Source organism: Homo sapiens, chromosome 12, assembly GCF_000001405.40.
Source record: "Homo sapiens chromosome 12, GRCh38.p14 Primary Assembly".
Classification (NCBI taxonomy): domain Eukaryota; kingdom Metazoa; phylum Chordata; class Mammalia; order Primates; family Hominidae; genus Homo; species Homo sapiens.
The window spans coordinates 122,420,296-122,442,147 of NC_000012.12; the positions used below are offsets into that span (position 1 = coordinate 122,420,296).

Consider the following 21,852-nt stretch of genomic DNA (forward strand, 5'->3'; position numbering starts at 1 on the left):
GATCACTCCATTGCACTCCAGCCTAGGCAACAAGAGTGAAATTCCATGTCAAAAAAAAAAAAAGAGATAAGGATATCAGATTCTAAACTCCTCAATAGGACAGAAACCAGATTAGCTTATGTCATGCTGAAGTGCAAGCTGGAGCTGAAGCAATGATTGAAAAAATAGGGAAGGGCAAAATCTTGATCTTCAGGCAAAATACCTACCCAGGGTCCCACCCGGTTTCAGTTTTCCCCTTTGAACTAGGTCTAGTGGGAAGATGTACTTAACTGCTTTCTCTGAACCTTAAAAATCGGGCACAAGCCTTTGGCCAAGCAATTACCCACTTCAACTTTGCTTTAATGTAGACCAGCCTTGGGGCCAGGTGCGGTAGTTCACACCTGTAATCCCAGCACTTTGGGAGCCCAAAGCAGGTGGATGACTTGAGCCCAGGAGTTCGAAATCAGCCTGGGCAACGTGGTGAAACCCCATCTCTACCACAGATACAAAAATTAGCCGGGCGTGGTGGCGGGCACCTGTAATTCCAGTACTCAGGAGGCTGAGGCACGAGAATCGCTTAAACCTGGGAGGCCGAGATTGCAGTGAGCTGAGATCACGCCACTGCACTCTGGCCGGGGGGACAGATTGAGGCTCCCTCTCATTGATTGATTGATTGATTGATGGATGGATAGACAGACAGACAGACTAGCCTTGCTTTTTGCCACAGATTCCCTATACTAATCGAATAACTAAGCACCTGAAGTCAGAATACCTGAGTTCACATGCTGGTAAAAGGTATTCTGACTTCAGGTGCTTAGCTGTATAACCCTGGTCAAGTTACTTGACCTTTCTATGACCCTCCTGCCGAATGCACATGACGACAGCACGCTCACTGGGTTAGGGTTGATTAAATGAAATAAAACACATAAAAAGCTAGCCCAGAGCCTGGCCACAAGATGCCTTCAATAAATGTTCATTGTTATAATTTACAGAGAAAAAAAGGCCCCAAGTCTGAGAAGCGACATGCCTGGGGATTCTTGCTAAAGGTTATCATTAAATCTAAAAGTCAAACAAACACATTCCTGACTCTGGGATACTCTCCTGATTCGTGGATACCATCGCTAACAGTAGTGACACAAATCAAATAATAAGAACAGCCAGAATCATAACCCTAATGACAGCAGTGGCCACAGCACTTAATACTTATAGAGCTGCTAGGGGCCACTGTCCTAAAAGAGGAAGAAGGCCAGGCTGCTGAATCACACACACACAATTACAGAATCTTCTCCACCCTTTGTTTTAAAAAACAGTTCACTGGCGCCCAAGTTTTGCTAAAAACAGGTATCTAAACCGATGACGGACAACGTGTAATTTCTTCATACCAAAGAGGTGGGGCTGTGCAGGGAGGAGGGGGTGGCGCTCGGCTCCTGCCAGATGGAAAAGCCACATGAAGTGGAGAAACAGCCGGATTCAGGATTCACCCCCGAATCAAAACCCGATTTTTGAAAGGCAGGACCTTCCAATTCGGGCAATCGCTAGGTTCTGCTTGTAAAATAACCTCTGAACAAGTGTCATCTGCCTTCCGCGCCAATCCCCTGCCGCGGTAGAAGGTTCGGATTACCGGGCAGCGGTGTGATTTCGGAAACCCGAGAGCGATCTGGCCACCTCCAGCCTTCCCCGGTCTCCGAGAATCACAGCCCCACTTGAGAGGAAAACAAAAGCCGGGGCAGCGGGGGAGGCCGGGCCAGGGTGCCCTCCATGCCGGATCGCGGGCGCCGGGCACCCGGGGCCTGAGGAATGCTCAGGTGACAGGCGCGGCGCCCGGGGCAACAGGTCCCGCCCGGCTTCGGCCTCCCGGGGTCCGGCCGATCCCACATCCGCCCCGGGGCCCAGGAGAGGGAGCGGGGCGCCAGGGAGAGAGCGGCGCCTGGGGCGGCGCAGGGGCAAGGAGTCCAAGCTCCATCTTGAGGCGGGCGGAGGAAGCGAAGGCCCGGCTCGGCGCTGACAGGGCCGCCACTTTTCCAGCTCCGGAGGAGCCCCCCAGGGACCCCCGGCCTCCGGCGCCGGCCACCCGAGACTCCCGCGGTCCCCTCCCGGACGGCTCCGGCGCGCGAGGCTCGGCCCCGCTCCCGGACGCCGGGCTTCGACCCCCGACCCGACCCTGGGCGGGCCCCGCAGGCCGGGAAGCCGGCAGGGGAGCAGGGGGTGCCGGGAAAGGGAGAGGGCCCGCGCCGCCCCCTGCTCACCTCCTCGGACGCCGCCGGTCGCCGCCACCTGTCCCACTGCAGCAGCAGCAGCCGCCGCGGCCGCCGCCTCCCGCCTCCCGGCTCGTCGGCTCGGGGCGGGGGAGAGCGTGACGCGCCGCCGCCGCCGCGGGGCCGGGCGGGCGCGCGCTGCCAGGAGAAGACGCCGCGCGGCTCCTCCCAGCGCTCCGCCGCCGCGCCCGCCCGGCCGGCCCGGCCGGCCCGGCCCCTCGAGTCCGCACCGGCCCTGCGGCCCGCGCCCGGCCCCGCGCCGCCCCGCCGCCTCTTTGTCTGCGCCCACCGCGGCCCCGGGAGGACCCTGGCCCCGGCGCGCCCGCCGCTCCGCCCTCGAACCCTCCCGAGCCCCGGCTTGGGGAGCAAGGTGCGAGGGAAAACCCACAGGCCTGCTCCGAGGGGCTTCTCGTCATTTCTGCAAAGTGTTCCCAGAATTTGCAAGTCACACCCAAGAGCCCCATTCAGCCTCGACCTCAGCCCGCTCTTTGGGGCTGATTCATTTGTTTGCCCTCCCCTTCCCGCCAGACAAGGGTGAGAAATCCTTTGAAACAGGCTGCAAGGCGCTTCCGAAGCAGGTTAAGTTGGGGATTGGGAAGGATCATCTCTGCCCTCGCCTCCCTCCAGGGAAAGACCCTGGATGAGGCGTCCCTGGAGAAAATGCTGAAAGGAACTGTAGAGCAGGTTAAGCTTGGGAAGAACTGTATCTGCTCCCCACTTCCCTCCGGGAACGACCGCGGGTTAAAAATCCTTTGAAACGATCCCAGGGTTTGCTCCGTTCGTTTGAGAAAAGCCCCTTTTATTCGCCCTGGCTGCTTGGACGGAAGCCCTGGTTAGTGTCCCATCCTCCTTCCCCCCTGGGATTTCCTTTAAAAGCTTTTGAAAGGGACAGGAGGGAAGGCTGCAACAGCCTGCTCGGGGCTGGGGTAGCAGAGGGCGGCCAGCATTTCACTCCCATGGACCATGGCAACCCCAGAAGCCTTACATCTCCAGGGAGGAATTTGCAGCTGTCGGGGAAGCCCAGGATTTTGTGGTGGATAAGGGGGCAGGGGCTTCCTCCTCCTTGCCAGTAGAAGAGAATAATCGGCGGGTGACCCCTCTAGCTGACCTTTATTCAAAGCACCGTGCTGCCTGGACCAGCAGGAAGAGGGAACTGCTCTGGTAATGCACGAAGTTCTGAACTATGTAAATTTGTCTCCTGGCCCCTCCTCTCCATTCATGTCTGAAATCCCTCGAAATGCTGTTACCTAATTCAACATCGCCCTAATTTACAGGCTGCAAGGTCAGGTGGTGGTGGTACTCCTGAAATCCCATATCCATATTCCTAATCTGAAAGGCGCGCCTCACCCCCTAATCTAAACAGTCTTCAGCTGTAATCAGCAAGCTGTGGAATCATAGATGTCATAGGATGAGGCACAGACCACTTCTAATGGGGGAGTTCAGCTAGGAACACTTATGGGCTTGTCTTTTCTTCTCTACTCAGTAGGCTGAGCCTGTCTTTATTAAAAATATTGTTTTGGGGCTGGGTGTGGTGGCTCACGCCTGTAATTCTAGCACTTTGAGAGACCCAGGTGGGTGGATCACCTGCAGACAGGAGTTCAAGACCAGCTTGGCCAACATGGTGAAACCCCGTCTCTAACAAAAAATACAAAAATTAACTGGGCATGGTGGTGCATGCCTGTAGTCCCAGCTACTCGGGAGGCTGAGACACGAGAATTGTTTGAACCCGGGAGGCGGAGGTTGCTGTGACCAGAGTTCAAGCCACTACACTCCAGCCTGGGTGCCGGAGGGAGACTCTGTCTCAAAAAATATATATATATATACACATGTATATATATATGTATATATATGTGTGTGTGTGTGTGTGTGTATATTTGCTTGTTCTCATGGGTTATTCTATGTCATTGTCATGTTCATCATTTGCTTATTTATTTATAATTATATCATTTTGTTCATCATGGAGTCTTGGCGTTAATTTTTTTTTTTTTTTTTTTTTTTGAGATGGAGTCTCACTCTGTCGCCCAGGCTGGAGTGCAGTGGTGCGATCTCGGCTCACCGCAAGCTCTGCCTCCCGGGTTCACGCCATTCTCCTGCCTCAGCCTCCCGAGTAGCTGGGACTACAGGTGCCCGCCACCACGCCCGGCTAATTTTTTGTATTTTTTTAGTACAGACAGGGTTTCACCGTGTTAGCCAGGATGGTCTCGATCTCCTGACCTCGTGATCCGCCTGCTTTGGGCTCCCAAAGTGCTGGGATTACAGACGTGAGCCACCGTGCCCGGCCATTAATTTTTATTTTTTAAAAAATATATCAGCCGGGCACAGCGGGCTGATCACGAGGTCAGGAGCTCGAGACCAGCCTGGCCAATATAGTGAAACCCCGTATCTACTAAAAATACAAAAATTAGCCGGGCATGGTGGCGCATGCCTGTAATCCCAGCTACTAGAGAGGCTGAGGCAGAAGAATTGCTTGAACCCAGGAGGCGGAGGTTGCAATAAGCCAAGATAGCACCACCGCACTGCAGCCTGGGCGACAGAGGGAGACTCTATCTCCAAAAAAAAAAAAAAAAAAAATTAGCATATCGCAATATTGTTTACCTTCACTGCCTCCTTCAATTGTGTGAGCAAGGCCTGGTCTCAGCCCTACTACCAGGGCATTGACAGGGCTCAGACCCCAGGTGGCCACTGTTAGGACTCAAAGTTCCTCCTTCAATATTTACATTCTGTTTTTAGATCTAGCCACTGTGCTTTTTTTTTTTTTTTTTTTTTAAGACTGAGTCTCGCTCTGTCGCCCAGTCTGGAGTGCAGTGGCACCATCTCGGCTCACTTCAACCTCCGCCTTGCAGGGCCAAGCTATTCTCCTGCCTCAGCCTTCCAAGTAGCTGGGACTACAGGCACGTACCACCATACCCAGCTAATTTTTTGTATTTTGGGTAGAGAGGGGGTTTCTCTGTGTTATCCAGGATGGTCTCAATCTCCTGACCTCGTGATCCGCCCACCTCGGCCTCCCAAAGTGCTAGGATTACAGGCATGAGCCACCGCGCCCGACTGCCACAGTGCTTTCTTAAATGCATGTCTTCTGTAAATATGAGAACAGCTCAATTGATGAGACATTGGGAGGTGGAAGGGATGTTGCAGAAGTAGAATGCAAAATAAGAGCTCTCAAGTCTTCATTTTACAAAGCGGGGAGGTAGGTAAATACCTAGGGTTTTGTTTTCTGTTTTTTTTTCCCCAAAAAATTAAGGTTTAATGATATCATTAACGTAACCAATAGGAATAATTAAAAATAGTGGCAGGATTGTGTGGAGAGGAGAGGTAGTCGTGCCTTAGTCATAACAGAAAGTCAATAGATAATGCCTACAGTTGATAAATAACACAAGTATATTTTTATGTATTTTTGTTTTTGTTTTCTTGAGATGAGGTCTCATTCCTGTCACCCAGGCTGGAGCGCAGTGCTGCAATCATGACTCCCTGCAGCCTCTACTTCCCGGGATCAGATGATCCTCCCACCTCAGCCTCCTAAGTAGCTGGGACTACAGGCATGCACAGCCATGCCCAGCTAATTGTTTGTATTTTTAGTAGAGATGGAGTTTTGCCATGTTGCCCAGGCTGGTCTCAAACTCCTGGGCTCAGGCAACCTGTCCCCCTCAGCCTCCCAAAGTGCTGGGATTACAGGCGTGAGCCACCGTGCCTGGCCCACAACAATATTTTTAGAGAGATGGAAGTTAACACCAGAAGAACTAAAAGCAAAAAATTAATAGTCTCTGGGGAACAGGGTTAAGACTAGGTAGGAGTGAGGTAGAAGAACTGAGAACTGTTGCTTTTCTTTTCTTTTGTTCTTTTGTTTTTTTGTTTTTGTTTGTTGTTGTTGTTTTGTTTTGTTTTGTTTTGTTTTGAGACAGGGTCTTGCTCTGTTGCCCAGACTAGAGTGCAGTGGTGCAATCATAGCTCACTACAACCTGGAGCTCCTGGGCTCGAGTGATCCTCCTACCTCAGCCTCCAGACTGGTTCAGACTACAGGCACGTGCCACCATGCCCAGCTAATTTTTTTTAATTTTTAGTAGAGCCAGAGTCTGTCTATGTTGCCCAGGTCTCAAAATCCTGGGCTCAAGCAATCCTCCCATCTTGGCCTCCCAAAGTGCTGGGATTACTGGCATGAGCCACCATGCCCAGACTGCTTTTAATTATAAACCTGAATGTATTTTATTTTTTAAAACCATGTGCAAGGCCAGGAGCAGTGGCTCACACCTATAATCCCAGCAATATGGGAGGCCAAGGTGGGAGGACTGCTTGAGCTGAGGAGTTGGAGACCCACCTGGGCAACATAGCAAGGCCCCATCTCTACCAAAAAAAAAATATAAAAAATTGGCCGGGCACAGTGACTCACACCTATAATCCCAGCACTTTGGGAGGCCGAGGCAGGTGGATTGCCTGAGCTCAGGAGTTTGAGACCAGCCTGGCCAACATGGCGAAACCCAGTCTCTACTAAAAATACAAAAATTAGCCAGCTATGGTGGCATGCACCTGTGGTTCCAGCTACTCAGGAGGCTGAGGGAGGAGAATCAGTTGAACCTAGAAGGCGGAGGTTGCATTGAGCTTGCGCCGCTGCACTCCAGCCTGGGCAATAGAGCGAGACTCCATCTCAATAAATAAATAAATAAATAAATAAATAAATAAATAAATAAGCAAGCTGGGTGTGGTGGTGTGCACCTGTAGTCCTAGCTACTCAGGAGGTAGAGGTGGGAGGATGGCTTGAGCCCAAGAAGTTGAGGCTGCAGTGAGCCGTGTTCCAGCCACTGCACTCCATCCAGGCTGGGTGACAGAGCAAAGCCCCATCTCAAACAAACAAAAAAACATTACTTTCATTTATTTGTTGTTGTTGTTGTTGTTGTTTTTAAACATGGAGATGAGGTCTCACTATGTTGCCAAGACTGATCTCTCCTTGGCTCAAAGGATCTTTCCGCCTTGGCCTCCCAAAATGTTGGGATCCCAGGTGTGAGCCACCACACCCAGCTCATTTTTTTTTTTTTGAGATGGAGTCGCGCTGTCACCAGGCTGGAGTGCGATGGCGCAATTTCAGCTCACTGCAACCTGCGGCTCCCAGGTTCAAGTGATTCTCCTGCCTCAGCCTCCTGAGTAACTGGGACTACAGTCACGCGCCACCACGCCCAGCTAATTTTTGTATTTTCAGTAGAGATACTGTCTCTATTTTCAATAGAGACAGTGTTTTGCCATGTTGGCCAGGCTGATCTCCTGACCTCAAGTGATCCATCCACCTTGGCCTCCCAAAGTGCTGGGATTACAGGTGTCAGCCACTGCACCCAGCCCCAATTTCTTTAAAAAAAGAACAAAAGAAGAAGAAGAAGGAATTAAGATCCTCAACCAAAATGAGTAGAGATTATTCTCCGTAAAATCATGGGTGTTGGTGGTTTTTTTCTCCCCAGCTCTTTAGCATTGATTCTGTGACAGGTTTCGGCAGTACAACAGGTTTGTTTTGTTTTATTATCTGTTTCCTTCCATCCCTACAAGAACGTGAATTTCCAGAGAGTGGGGAATTTTTTTTTTTTTTTGAGAATGAGTCTCTGTCGCTCAGGCTGGAGTGCAGTGGTGCAATCTTGGCTCACTGCAACCTCCGCCTCCTGGATTCAAGTGATTCTCCTGCCTCAGCCTCCCGAGTAGCTGGGATTACAGGCACCCACCACCATGCCCAGCTAATTTTTGTATTTTTAGTAGAGACGGGGTTTCACCATATTGGCCAGGCTGGTCTTGAACTCCTGACCTGTGATCCGCCTGTCTCAGCCTCCCAAAGTGCTGGGATTACAGGCGTGAGCCACTGGGCCCAGCGAGAGCAGGGATTGTTGACTCTTATTTCTTGCTGTGTCTGCATCCCTTGGATGCAGGGTCCACAGTAGATTAGCTTTTTGAAGGATGTGGTGTAAGACTCCTATATTCTAAATAACTAGAGACTTTTTTCCTTGTATTTTGTCTTCTTTTTTTTTAAAGAACAATAGGTGTTCATTACATAAAATTAAGGCAAGCAAAATGAAGGCAACAAAATAGCTACAATCCCACAGATCCTGAAAAAATTACTAATAAATATGTCTAAATTAATTCATTACAGTTTAGAGAGATTTTAAATCTCTCGCTAAGGGACTAATAGTTCTTATCACCATTCAAGGACAATACAGTAAAAAATAGTGGTTTGAAAATATTTCTTGTTTTGTTTTGTTTTGTTTTGTTTGAGACTGAGTTTCGCTCTTGTTGCCCAGGCTGGAGTGCAGTGGCATGATCTCGGCTCACTGCAACCTCCATCTCCCGGATTCAAGCGATTCTCCTGCCTCAGCCTCCCGAGTAGCTGGGATTACAGGCATGTGCCACAACGCCCAGCTAATTTTTTTTGTATTTTTAGTAGAGATGGGGTTTCACCATATTGGTCAGGCTGGTCTCAAACTCCTGACCTCAGATAATCTGCCCACCTCGGCCTCCCAAAGTGCTGGGATTACAGGTGTGAGCCACTGCACCCAGCCAAAAATATTTCATAAACTGCGCCTGTGATCCCAGCATTTAGGGAGGCCAAGGTGGGTGGATCACCTGAGGTCAGGTGTTCAAGACCAGCCTGGCCAACATGGTGAAACTCTATCTCTAAAAACACAAAACTTAGCCGGGCGTGGTGGTGGTGCATGCCTGTAATCCCAGCTACTTGGGAGGCTGAGGCGGAAGGATCGCTTGAACCCAGGAGTTGGAGGTTGGAGTCAGCCAGTGCACACCAGCCTGGGCAGCAGAGCAAGACCCTGTCTAAAAAAAAAAAAAAAAATTCATAAACTGCTATGAAGATGTAAGGATTTATAGGTTTTTACAACAGAAAATGATTTGATTTCAGGCACTAAGTGAAAAAAAAATTTTTTAAATAGAAAAATGAGACAAAAGCTGTCAAAATAAGCACACTTCTAAAATTAAAGATGTTTTAGCCAGGTGCAGTGGCTCACGCCTGTAATCCCAGCACTTTGGGAGGCAAAGATCCCTTGAGCCCAGGAGTTCAAAACCAGCCTGGGCAACATAGTAAAACCCTGTGTCTATTACTATAAATTTTTATAAAAAAGAAAAAAATGAAAGGTGTTATTTTTCCTTTCTCTTTTTTAAAGTTCCTGAACCATAGTAGATAGGTCACAATTAGGGATTTAACTCCTTACTATACATAATGGTGACCACAGTTAATAACATTATATACTTGAAAATTAGTAAGACAGTAGATTTTAAGTGTGCTCACTACACACAAAAAAATTAAGGGCCGGGCACAGTGGCTCATGCCTGTAATCCCAGCACTTTGGGAGGCCAAGGCGGGTGGATCATCTGAGGTCAAGAGTTCGAGACCAGCCTGACCAACATGGTGAAACCCCATCTCTACTGAAAATACAAAAATTAGCTGGGCGTGGTGGTGGGTGCCTGTAATCCCAACTACTTAGGAGGCTGAGGCAGGAGAATTGCTTGAACCCGGGAGGTAGAGGTTGCAGTGAGCCGAGATTGCGCCACTGCACTCCAGCCTTGGTAACAAGAATGAAACTCCATCTCAAAAAAAAAAAAAAAGTTAAGTATTTAAGGTAATACATATAGCTTGCTTTTTTTTTTTTTTTTTTTTTTGAGACAGTCTCTCGCTGTGTCGCCCAGGCTGTAGTGCAGTGGCCCAGTCTTGGCTCACTGCAACCGCCACCTCCTGGGTTCAAGTGATCCTCCCACCTCAGCCTCCCCAGTAGCTGGGATTACAGGCACCCACCACACCAGGCTAATTTTTCTATTTTCAGTAGAGATGGGGTTTTGCATGTCGCCCAGGCTGGTCTCTAACTCCTGACCTCAAGCAATCTGCCTGCCTTGGCCTCTCAAAGTGCTGAGATTATAGTCATGAGCCACTGTGCCTGGCTTATTTTTTAAATTACTTCTGCTTTTATTAATATTGCTTCAGAAATCAGAATCCAACTGATTAGCCCATTCAACAAAGATTTACTGAAATCCTGCTGAGTCCCAAGCACTATTCGAGGTACTGGGGCTATAGCAGTGAAGATCAAGTCCCTGTCCTCAAACTGTTGACTATTACTGGTCACAGGTTTACTAAATCAGCGTGGAGTAATCACTGTTCCCTGATCTCCCCTGGTTTTATGTCCAAGGTGGGTATAATATGCCAGACCACAACCCTTGTCAACATTTGGAAATGTTAACATTTCCAAAACATTTCCAAAGATAGGGAGCTAGTGCTAGTTCATTTCATAAAAAAGCGACTCAGCGGCTGGGTGCGGTGGCTCACGCCTGTAATCCCAGCACTTTGGGAGGCCGAGGCGGGTGGATTGCAAGGTCAGGAGTTCGACACCAGCCTGGCCACTATGGTGAAACCCCATCTCTACTAAAAATCCAAAAAAATTAGCTGGGCGTGGTGGTGCATGCCTGTAATCCCAGCTACTCGGGAGGCTGAGGCAGGAGAATTGCTTGAACCTGGGAGGTGGACGTTGCAGTGAGCTGATATTGCGCCACTGCACTCCAGCCTGGGTGACAGAGTGAGACTCCATCTGAAAAAAAAAAAGCAAAACTGTGAAAGAATGACAAGCTACTAAATTTTATATATATATAAAAATATATTTTTATTATAAATAATTATATATATAAGTAATATTTTATATGTGTATATATATATATATTTTTTGGACACAGGGTCTTGCTCTGTTGCCCAGGCTGGTGGTGCAATCATAACTCACTTCAGCCACAAACTCCCTACCTCTCGGCCTCCTAAACTGCTGAAATGACAGGCGCACCCCACACCCAGTGCCTATTAAATTTAAATTCATAAAACCACTTCTCAAAGAGAACCATCTTGTGACAACAAAGACTGCATTGTACACATTCAGTTAACAAAGAACAATATCAATAGGGCACCACACACCATGATGTAAACTGTATTTAGGGCCATCTAAATAGACTAGTACTTTGAGTGTGTGCAGTTTCACGATGAGGGGGGGTTGAACGAGATCTCTTTTAAACTTCCAACCACAAACATTTTTAAGATTCTGTGACTTTTATCAACTAAAGCAAAACATTTGTGAAATTTGCGTTTGATGCAGCAGTTCTTATCTAATTCAACAAATATTTGTTGAGTACATGGAAAGTTGATTCTATCTTCAGCAAAAATCAAGCAGACTTGGCCAGGCACGGTGGCTCATGCCTGTAATCCCAGCACTTTTGGAGGCCAAGGCGGGTGGATCACTTGAGGTCAGGAGTTTGAGAGCAGCCTGGTCAACAGGGTGAAACCCCATCTCTACTAAAAATACAAAAATTAGCTGGGCGTGTTGGCACGTGCCTGTAATCCCAGCTAATGGGGAGGCTGAGGCAGGAGAATTGCTTGAACCCGGGAGGCGGAGGTTGCAGTGAGCCGAGATCACATCATTGCATTCCAGCCTGGGCAAAGAAGCAAGACTCCACCTCAAAATAAAATAAAATAAAATAAAGGCTGGGTGCAGTGGCTCATCCCTGTAATCCCAGCACTTTGGGAGGCCTAAGCGGGTAGATCACCTGAGGTCAGGAGTTCAAGACCAGCCTGGCCAGGCCAGGCACGGTGGCTCACACTGTAATCCCAGCATTTTGCAAGGCCAAGGTGGGCAGATCACAAGGTCAGGAGTTCAAGACTAGCCTGGCCAATATGGTGAAACCCTGTCTCTACTAAAAATAAAAAAAAAATTAGCCAGGTGTGGCGGCACGTGTCTGTAGTCCCAGCTACTCAGGAGACTGAGGCAGGAGAATCACTTGAACCTGGGAGGCAGAGGTTGCAGTGAGCCAAGATTGCGCCATTGCACTCCAGCCTGGGCAACAGAGTGAGACTCCATCTCAAAAAAAAAAAGACCAAAGGCCGGGCGCAGTGGCTCACGCCTGTAATCCTAGCACTTTGGGAGGCCAAGTCGCGCAGATCACAAGGTCAGGAGATCGAGACCATCCTGGCTAACATGGTGAAACCCCATCTCTACTAAAAACAAAACAAAACAAAACAAAACAAAAAAAAGACCAGCTTGGCCACATGGTGAAACCCTGCCCTACTAAAATACAAAAATTAGCAGAGCGTGATGGCGGGTGCTTGAAATCCCAGCTACTAGGGAGGCTGAGACGGGAGAATCGCTTGAACCCAGGAGACGGTGGTTGCAGTGAGCCGAGATTGCACCACTGCACTCAGCCTGGGCGGCTGAGTAAGACTGTCTCAAAAGAAAAAGAAATCAAGCAGACTCAAATATATGTACACACATGTTCACAGTAGGAAAAAGTGGAAACAACCCAAATGTCCATCGATTGATGAACGAATAAACAAATTGTGGTCTCTCCGAGCAGTGGAACATTACTCAGCTGTTAAAAAAAAAAGAAGAGTACTGATGCATGATACATGCCAGGATGACCCTTGCAAACATTATGCTGAGTGAAAAAAGCCTGACACAACAGATCACCTACTGTATGATTCTTGGCCGGGTGCGGTGGCTCACACCTGTAATCCTAGCACTTTGGGAAGCCAAGGCAGGTGGATCACTTGAGGTCAGGAGTTCAAGACCAGCCTGGCCAAAATGGCAAAACCCCATCTCCACTAAAAAAAAAAAAAAAAAAAAATTAGCCAGGCATGGTGGCAGGCACCTGTAATCCCAGCTACTAGGGAGGCTGAGACATGCTTGAACCCAGGAAGCAGAAGTTGCGTGAGACAAGATTGCACCACTGTACTCCAGCCTGGACAACAGAGCAAGACTCTGTAACGAAAAAAAAAAAGAATCATACAATATATATATATTTTTTGAGATGTAGTCTCACTCTGACACCCAGACTGGAGTGCAATGGTGCGATCTCGGCTCACTGCAACCTCCGCCTTCCGGGTTCAAGTGATTTCTTCTATCTCAGCCTCCTGAATAGCTGGGACTACAGGCGTACACCACCATGCCCAGCTAATTTTTGTATTTTTAGTAGATACGGAGTTTCATCATGTCAGCCAGGCTGGTCTTGAAATCCTGACATCAAGTGATCCACCTGCCTTGGCCTCCCAAAGTGTTGGGATTATACACGTGAGCCACCGCGCCCAGCCACATATTGTATGATTCTTTACATGAAATGTCCAGAAGAGGTAAATCCGTAGAGCTGGCGGGCTGATTAATGGTTGTCAGGGGCTGCAGGAGGGGAGAGTTAGGAGCAACTGCTTAAGAGGTACACAGTCTCCTTTTGGAGCCAGGGACTCACGCCTGTAATCCCAGCACTTTGGGAGGCCAAGGCAGGCAGATCACCTGAGGTCAGGAGTTTGAGACCAGCCTGGCCAACATGGCAAAACCCCTTCTCTACTAAAAACACAAAAATTAGTTGGGTGTGGTGGCGCATGCCTGTAATCCCAGCTACTTGGGAGGCTGAGGTGGGAGAATCATTTGAACCCAGGAGGGGGAGGTTGCAGTGAGCCGAGATCTCGCCATTGCACTCCAGCCTGGGCAACAGAACAAGACTCCATCTCAAAAACAACAACAACAAAAAAAAATGCCAGGTGCTGTGCCTCACGCCTGTAATCCCAACACTTTGGGAGGTCAAGGTGGGCGGATCATGAGGTCAAGAGATTGAGACCATCCTGGCCAACATGGAGAAACCCCGTCTCTACTAAAAATGCAAAGATTAGCTGGGCATGGTGGCACACGCCTGTAGTCCCAGCTACTCAGGAGGCTGAGGCAGGAGAATCGCTTGAACTGGGGAGGTGGAGGTTGCAGTAAGCCGAGATCACCATTGCACTCCAGCCTGGCGACAGAGCAAGACTCTGCCTCAAAAAAAAAGAAAAAAAGGATCTCCTTTTGGGATGATGGAAATAATTTGGAACTAGAGGAAAGGTGGTAGTCACATAACATTGTGAATGTATAAATGCCACTGAATTGTTTATTTTATTTGTTTTTGTTTTTATTTTTATTTTTGTAGAGACAGGGTCTTCCTGCATGGCCCAGGCTGGTCTCAAACTCCTGGGCTCAAACAGTCCTCCTGCCTCAGCCTCCCAAAGTGCTGAGTTTATAGGCATGAGCCACCATGCCCAGACTAAATAACTGTGCTTTTTTTTTTTTTTTTTTTTTCTGAGATGGTCTCACTCTGTCGCCCAGGCTGGAGTGCAGTGGCTCGATCTCAGCTCACTGCAACCTCTGCCTCCCGGGTTCAAGTAATTCTCCTGTCTCAGTCCCCCAAGTAGCTGGGACTACAGGTGCACACCACTACACCAGGCTAATTTTTGTATATTTAGTAGAGACAGGGTTTCACCATGTCAGTCAGGCTGGTCTCAAACTCCTGACCTCAGGTGATCCACCCACCTTGGCCTCCCAAAGAGCTGGGGTTACAGGCATGAGCCACGACGCCTGGCCGAATTGTTTATTTTTAAATGGTTAACTTTATGTTATGTGAATCTCATATCAATAAAAAATAAACAAATAAAAGGAATAAACTATTCAAAAAAAAAGTCAAGTAGAGAATGCATGATAACCAGGTAGACGAGAGATTTTAGAGAAGAGATTTTTAAATTCGGAGGCAGTTTCAGCCAGGTGAAGTGGGTCACATTTGTAATCCCCACACTTTGGGAGGCTGAGGTAGGAGGATCACTTGAGTCCAGGAGTTTGAAACCAGCCTGGTCAACATAGCAAGACTTCGTCGATACAAAAAAGCTTCTTAAAAAATTAGATGGGTGTGGCTCACACCTGTATTCCCAGCTGCTCAAGAGGGTGAGGCATGAGAATCACCTTAGCCTGAGTTCACGGCTACAGTGAGCTATGATTGTGCTACTGCAGTCTGGTCTGGGTAACAGAGCAAGACCCTGTCCCTAAAAATAAATAAATAAATAAATAAATAAATAAATAAATAAACAGGAGTCAGTTTGAACTAAAGTTCTTCCCAACTCTAATATTTTATTATTGTACAGATTCAGCTCTTAGTGTTCAACTCTGACAACTGGATTAATCGCAGCCTTCCTACTCTATCATCTAACTGTACAAAGAGACCAAAATTAAATTTTGGCTAGAAATCTAAAAAAAAAAAAAAAATCATGTACAAGGAATATTCAGCCTCTGCCAGGCTATTTTATTTTATTTTATTTTATTTTATTTTATTTTATTTTATTTTGAGATAGAATCTCACTCTGTTGCCCAGGCTGGAATACAGTGGTGCGATCTTGGCTCACTTCAGCCTCCACCTCACGGGTTCAAACAATTCTCCTGCCCCAGCCTCCCAAGTAGCTGGGATTACAGGTGAATGCCACCACACCCAGCTAATTTTTGTATTTTTTAGTAGAGATAGAGTTTCACCATGTTACCCATGCTGGTCTCGAACTCCTGACCTCAAGTGATCAACCCGCCTCAGCCGCCAAAAGTGCTGGGATTACAGGCATGAGGCACTGCGCCAGGCCCTAAATTTTTATTCGTTTATTTATTTTGAGACAGAGTCTCACTCTGTTGCCTGGGCTGAAGTGCAGTGTGCAATCACAGCTCACTGCAGCCTCGACTTCCCAGGCCTACATGATCCTCCCACCTCAGCCTCCTGAGTAGCTGGGACTACAGGTGCATGCCACCACACGGGCTAGTTTTTGTATTTTTTGTGGAGACAGGATCTTGTTATGTTGCCCAGGCTGGTCTTGAACTCCTACGCTCAAGCAATCTGCATTCGTGGGCCTCCCAAAGTGCTGGGATTACAGGTGTGAACCATCCACCTGGATATTTTTCTTTTCTTTTCTTTCTTCAGACCAGACCTTGGTCTCAGACCGCCCAAGGGATTTGCCATGACTGGAAGGAAGGAGAGAGGGAAGGTAGGGTTGCTACCCAAGAAGAGCAAAAAAAAAAAAAAAAAAAAAAAAATAGGAATTGATATTCAGGTTTTGACATTCAAATGGGATTTTAAAAACAGTTTGAGATATAATTTACATACCCTACAATTCACCCATTTAAAGTGTGTAACTCGGGCCGGATGCGGTGGTTCACGCCTATAATCCCAGCACTTTGGGAGGCTGAGGCGGGCGGATCACCTGAGGTCAGGAGTTTGAGACCAGCCTGACCAACATGGAGAAACCCCATCTGTACTAAAAATATAAAATTAGCTGGGCATGGTGGCGCATGCCTGTAATCCCAGCTACTTGGGAGGCTGAGGCAGGAGAATCGCTTGAACCCAGGAGGCAGAAGTTGCAGTGAGCCGAGATGGCACCATTACACTACAGTCTGGGCAACAACAGGGAAACTCTGACTCAAAAAAATAAAAAAGTATGTAACTCAATGGGTTTTAATATAATACATTATGAATTTTTTAGATTGTGGTAAATTATATATAACGTAAACTTTTCCATTTTAATCTTTTTTTTTTTTTCCTGGGAGACGAGGGTCTTGCTTTGTTGCCCAGGCTGCTCTGGAACTCCCGCCTCAAGTGATCCTCCTCCTTTGATCTTCCAAAGTGCTGGGATTATGGGTGTGAGCCACTGCATCTGGCCCATTTTAACCATAAGTGTACAACTCAGTGACATTAATTGCATTTACAATATTGGTGCCACCCCAAATAGGATTTTGCAGAGAAAACAAAGTGGCTTGATATCTCAGCATGGTTAAGCAACAAAGAATTTTTTTAATTCCTTTATCTTTCATTTGTCATATCAAGGACCCTGAAGGCCAGAGTTTTTGCTATGATATACAGAAGAAACTCCTCTCTGACATTAAGACTTAGCCACTCCAGCCTGGGCGATGAGCGAGACCCTGTTCACACACACACACACACACACACACACACACACACACGGACTTAGCCAGCAGGCCAAAAATGGTAAGAAGGAAGATATAACATAGAAGAAATGAAAAAGAGCAGTGTCCTTCCAGGCACAGGAGTCAATGGGGAGAAAGGAAGAGGGACAGAGGTGAGGGAGGCAGATCTATTGACTGAGATCTGGGACAGGGAAGGGAGCCTGTGTCCCCACTCCATATTTGAGCATCTGGAAGAAAACCCTTGGGCAGGGTGGTGGCCCCATGCCAACATTTTTAAGATGCACGTGGCAAGGTCAGAAGTAAGGAAGATCCAATTTGTGCTCCGAGACTTTCCTTAGACACTCAGCAGCATGAATGCCTGGTTGAGAGCTTTGGGTGCCTACTCTGGGACCCATTCTGGCAGTATCATGGCAGAGATTCAGAGGAGTCAGCTGTGCCAGCGATTGGAGGGGAGGTTGACTCAGCAGGGAGGAGGCACGGAGTCCTGACTGAGCCAAGAAAGAGCATATGTTAGGAGCGGACTCCAACCACTCAGACACAGAACTGGGACGCCGCGTTACAGGACCCAGCTGTGGCTAACATTGCTAATTGCCTCCCCGAGATTCACTCCCCTTTTGTACCAAACAAACCTCTATTTTATGTGGCATGGCAATGTGCCCAACAATTTATGCTCACCTCCTCAGGCTTCCCCTAGGAAAGTCGGCTAGAGGTGCTTTTGGGAAAAAGTTTTTCCTCTCCTGATAAATGGGCACAGACATAGGTGTGCTGTCTGGGGCCAAAGCAGCCATGTTGTTACCCTGCAGTGATGAGGATGATGACAAAAGCCATCAGGCCAAGGTGGCAGAGCAGAAAGACTGAAAGAACAGGACTACTGTCTTGGGAAGAGCGCAATTTATCTGGAGCAAATACTTCAATAAGAACCAAATTAGGCTGGGCGCATGGCTTATGCCTGTAATCCTACCACTTTGGGAGGCCAAGGTGGCAATCCAGCTCAAAAAAAAAAAAAAAAAGAAATTAATGGCTAGCAGACTGATAAACAAAGGACTTTGTGAAGAAAATAGAAATAGCCGCTTGAAGATTTTTTTTTTTTTTTAGACAGAGTCTCACTCTGTTGCCCAGGCTGGAGTGTAGTGGCGCGTTCTCAGCTCACTGCAACCTCCGCCTCCCAGGCTCAAGCTATCCTCCCACCTCAGCCTCCTGAGTAGCAGGGACTATAGGTACACACCACCACACCCAGCTAATTTTTGAATTTTTTATAAAGACAGGGTTTCACCATGTTGCTCAGGCTGGTCTTGAACTCCTAGGGATCAAGCAATTCTCCCTCCTCAGCCTCCCAAAGTGCCAGGATTACAGGCATGGTGAGCCACCATCCCCAGCCAAGGTAGTTTATCTTACCATTATTTAACTTTCCTGCATCCCTGTGTAAACCTCAGGCTGAACATTGATGTCGAATGCATGAGTAATCCAATTTTTCTCCAGCATCTATCCTCTACCCTATCTGTTTTTGTTTTTGTTTTTGTTTGGTAGAGATAGGATCTTGCTTTGTTGCCTAGGTTGGTTTCAAACTCCTGGGTTCAAGTGATCCTCCTGCCTTGGCCTTCCAAAGTGCTGGGATTACAGGCATGAGCCACTGCACCAGCCCTCTACCTTGTCTCTCTTTCTTTGTTTTTTTTTTTTTTTTTTTGAGATGGAATCTCGCTCTGTTGTTTAGGCTGGAGTGCAGTGGCGCAATCTCAGCTCACTGCAACCTCCGCCTCCCAGGTAGGAGCTGGGATTACAAGTGCCTGCCAACACGCCTGGCTAATTTTTGTATTTTTAGTAGAGACAGGTTTTACCATGTTGGCCAGGCTGGTCTCAAACTCCTGACCTCAAGTGGTCCGCCCACCTCGGCCTCCCAAAGTGCTTGGGATTACAGGCGTGGGCCACCGCACCCAGCCTCTACCTTGTCTCTTAACTGACTCCTCATTAGCATGTAAATACATTCGAGCTCTTCTATCTTAAAAACAAAATAAAACTAAACAAAACTGTCCCTCAATAGATTTCCTAGACAAGCTTCTTGAGCTTTATGCCTGGTATCTCTGTTTCCCCTTAGCAATCTTTTGCCCCCATGGTTTAGCTGAAATTGCTATAGCCAACATTATTAACAGTCATATCATTTAGTGACCTTAGTGGTATGGCTATCATTGGTGACTTTGGTAGTAGTAGTTTCATCTGAGCAGTGGAGACAAGAATTTGACCCACCTGAGCTCTTAATAGCATTTTTTTCACTGTTGCCTAGTCTGTCTATGGCATATTGTAAAAAGTGAATGCGGCCGGGCGCAGTGGCTCACGCCTGTAATCCCAGCACTTTGGGAGGCCGAGGCGGACAGATTACCTGAGGTCGGAAGTTTCAGACCAGCCTGACCAACATGGAGAAAATACTAAAAATACAAAATTAGCCGGGCGTGTGGCACATGTCTGTAATCCCAGCTATTTGGGAGACTGAGGCCAGAGAATTGCTTGAACCTGGGAGGCAGAGGTTTCAGTGAGCCAATATCGCGCCATTGCACTCCAGCCTGGGCAACAAGAGCAAAACTCTGTCTCAAAACAAAAACAGGCCGGGCGCGGTGGCTCACGCCTGTAATCCCAGCACTTTGGGAGGCCGAGGCGGGCGGATCACGAGGTCAGGAGATCGAGACCATCCCGGCTAAAACGGTGAAACCCCGTCTCTACTAAAAATACAAAAAATTAGCCGGGCGTAGTGGCGGGCGCCTGTAGTCCCAGCTACTTGGGAGGCTGAGGCAGGAGAATGGCGTGAACCCGGGAGGCGGAGCTTGCAGTGAGCCGAGATCCCGCCACTGCACTCCAGCCTGGGCGACAGAGCGAGACTCCGTCTCAAAAAAAAAAAAAAAAAAAAAAAAAAAAAAAACGGTGAATACAATTATTCATGTCAAACTCTACAAGCAGAGCTGCCTGGATAACTGCAACTGACTGTAGATGCATCAGGGAACCCAGCAGAGACCAGAAGAACCACTCAACTAAGGACAGCCTAAATTTCCAACCCACAGAATTATGAGTGAAATAAATGGTTCCAGCTTTAAACTACTAAGTTTTGGGATAGGTTGTTACTCAGCCATAGCTAAATGATATGTCCTCTTTCCACATCCCCTTCTCAGCTATGTTTTCTGTAACACCATACTCTGCTATTTTCCTCTGTCTTCTCTGGCTGTTCCTTTTCAATCTCTTTGCAAATCTCTACCTACCCCTTAAAACTGACATTCCTCAGGGATCTCTTCTAGTTCCTCTTCTCTTCCTACTGGGTTCAAGTAATCCTTCTGCCTTGGTCTTCCAAAGTGCTGGGATTACAGCACTTTGGATAATCTCATCAGTTTACCCTCAATTACTATCCATAATATACAGAAACAATTCCTAATTTTTTTTTTTTTTTTTTGAGGCAGAGTCTCGCTTTGTCACCCAGGCTGGAGTGCAGTGGCGCAATCTTGGCTCACTGCAACCTCCGCCTCCCCGGTTCAGGAGATTCTCCTGCCTCAGCCTCCCGAGTAGCTGGGATTACAGGCATGTGCCACCACACCCAGCTAATTTTTGTATTTTTTTAGTAGAGATGGGGTTTCACAATGTCGGCCAGGATAGTCTCAATCTCCTGGCCTCATGATCCGCCCACCTCAGCCTTCCAAAATGCTGGGATTACAGGCGTGAGCCACTGTGCCTGGCCAAGTTTTCTATGTTTAGTAGAGATGGGGTTTCACCATGTTGGCCAGGCTTGTCTTAAACTCCTGACCTCAAGTGATCCACCCACCTTGGCCTCCCAAAGTGCTGGGATTACAGGCTTGAGCTGCTGTGCTCGGCCTGCTAAATCTTTATTTATGTATTTATTTATTTTGAGACGGAGTCTCGCTCTGTCACCCAGGCTGGAGTGCAGTGGCGCAATCTCGGCTCACTGCAAACTCCACCTCCCGGGTTCATGCCATTCTCCTGCCTCAGCCTCCCGAGTAGCTGGGACTACAAGCGCCCGCCACTACGCCCGGCTAATTTTTTGTATTTTTAGTAGAGACGGGGTTTCACCGCGTTAGCCAGGATGGTCTCAATCTCCTGACCTCGTGATCCACCCGCCTCGGCCTCCCAAAGTGCTGGGATTACAGGCTTGAGCCACTGCGCCCGGCCCCCAGCCTGCTAAATCTTTATATCCAGTCCAGAATTCTCTTTTTTTGTAAATTCAGATACAAAGTCTCACTGTGTTGCCCAGGCTGGAGTGCAGTGGCACAATCTCAGCTCACTGCAACCTCTGCCTCCTAGGTTCAAGTGATTCTGGTGTCTCAGCCTCCTGGCTATCTGAAATTATAGGTATGTGCCACCATGCCCCACTAATTTTTGCGTTTTTAGTAAAGATGGGGTTTTGTCATGATGGCCAGGCTGAGAGAGACATCAACTCTTAAAAAAAAAAAAAAAGAAAAGTGAAAAGAGAACAACAACAAAAAAATAGTTGAGCATGGTGGCATGCGCCTGTGGTCCCAGCTACTCGGGAGGTTGAGGTGGGAGGATCCCTTGAAACCAGGAGTTAAAAGGCTACAGTGAGCTATGATTGCACCACTTCACTCTAGCCTGGGTGACAGGGTGGGACTCCATCTTTTAAAAAAATTTTTGTTGTTGTTGTTTTTTTTTGAGATGGAGTCTCTCTCCATCACCCAGGCTGAAGCGCAGTAGTGCGATCTCAGCTCACTGCAACCTCCACCTCCGGGTTCAAGCGATTCTCCTGCCTTAGGCTCCCAAGTAGCTGGGACTACAGGTGTCTACCATCACTCCCAGCTAATTTTTTATTTTTAGTAGAGATGAGGGTTCATCATGTTGGCCAGTCTGGTCTCGAACTCCTGACC

The 21,852-nt window shown here is 47.9% G+C and overlaps 1 protein-coding gene across 16 annotated transcripts in view, besides 5 other annotated features; it reads right to left on the reverse strand.

Annotated features, from left to right (window-relative positions):
- CLIP1 (CAP-Gly domain containing linker protein 1) overlaps window positions 1–2,661 on the reverse strand; it is a 151,488-nt gene extending 148,827 nt beyond the window's left edge. For 15 of the 16 annotated variants that reach the window (XM_047429321.1, XM_047429320.1, XM_047429318.1 and 12 more), the window contains exon 1: window positions 2,226–2,374. The gene's annotated coding sequence lies outside the window, so the exon portion shown is untranslated. Of the gene's footprint in view, window positions 1–2,225; window positions 2,375–2,622 lie in introns of those variants that run through there. The other variant, XM_047429314.1, reaches the window with a different exon arrangement.
- Window positions 1,671–2,070: a silencer, noted in NCBI's record as "silent region_5014". NCBI's record gives its function as "represses an Ori minimal core promoter by ATAC-STARR-seq in GM12878 lymphoblastoid cells {active_cell/tissue: GM12878}" and the evidence as "EXISTENCE:reporter gene assay evidence [ECO:0000049][PMID:35858748]".
- Window positions 2,091–2,440: a silencer, noted in NCBI's record as "silent region_5015". NCBI's record gives its function as "represses an Ori minimal core promoter by ATAC-STARR-seq in GM12878 lymphoblastoid cells {active_cell/tissue: GM12878}" and the evidence as "EXISTENCE:reporter gene assay evidence [ECO:0000049][PMID:35858748]".
- Window positions 3,550–3,649: an enhancer, noted in NCBI's record as "active region_7222". NCBI's record gives its function as "activates an Ori minimal core promoter by ATAC-STARR-seq in GM12878 lymphoblastoid cells {active_cell/tissue: GM12878}" and the evidence as "EXISTENCE:reporter gene assay evidence [ECO:0000049][PMID:35858748]".
- Window positions 11,329–11,830: an enhancer, noted in NCBI's record as "H3K27ac hESC enhancer chr12:122916171-122916672 (GRCh37/hg19 assembly coordinates)". NCBI's record gives its function as "activates a minimal SCP1, AML or CMV promoter by ChIP-STARR-seq in naive H9 embryonic stem cells {active_cell/tissue: H9 hESC(naive)}" and the evidence as "EXISTENCE:reporter gene assay evidence [ECO:0000049][PMID:30033119]".
- Window positions 17,487–17,781: a silencer, noted in NCBI's record as "tiled region #9757; K562 Repressive non-DNase unmatched - State 23:Low". NCBI's record gives its function as "represses a minimal TATA promoter and a strong SV40 promoter by Sharpr-MPRA in K562 cells {active_cell/tissue: K562}" and the evidence as "EXISTENCE:reporter gene assay evidence [ECO:0000049][PMID:27701403]".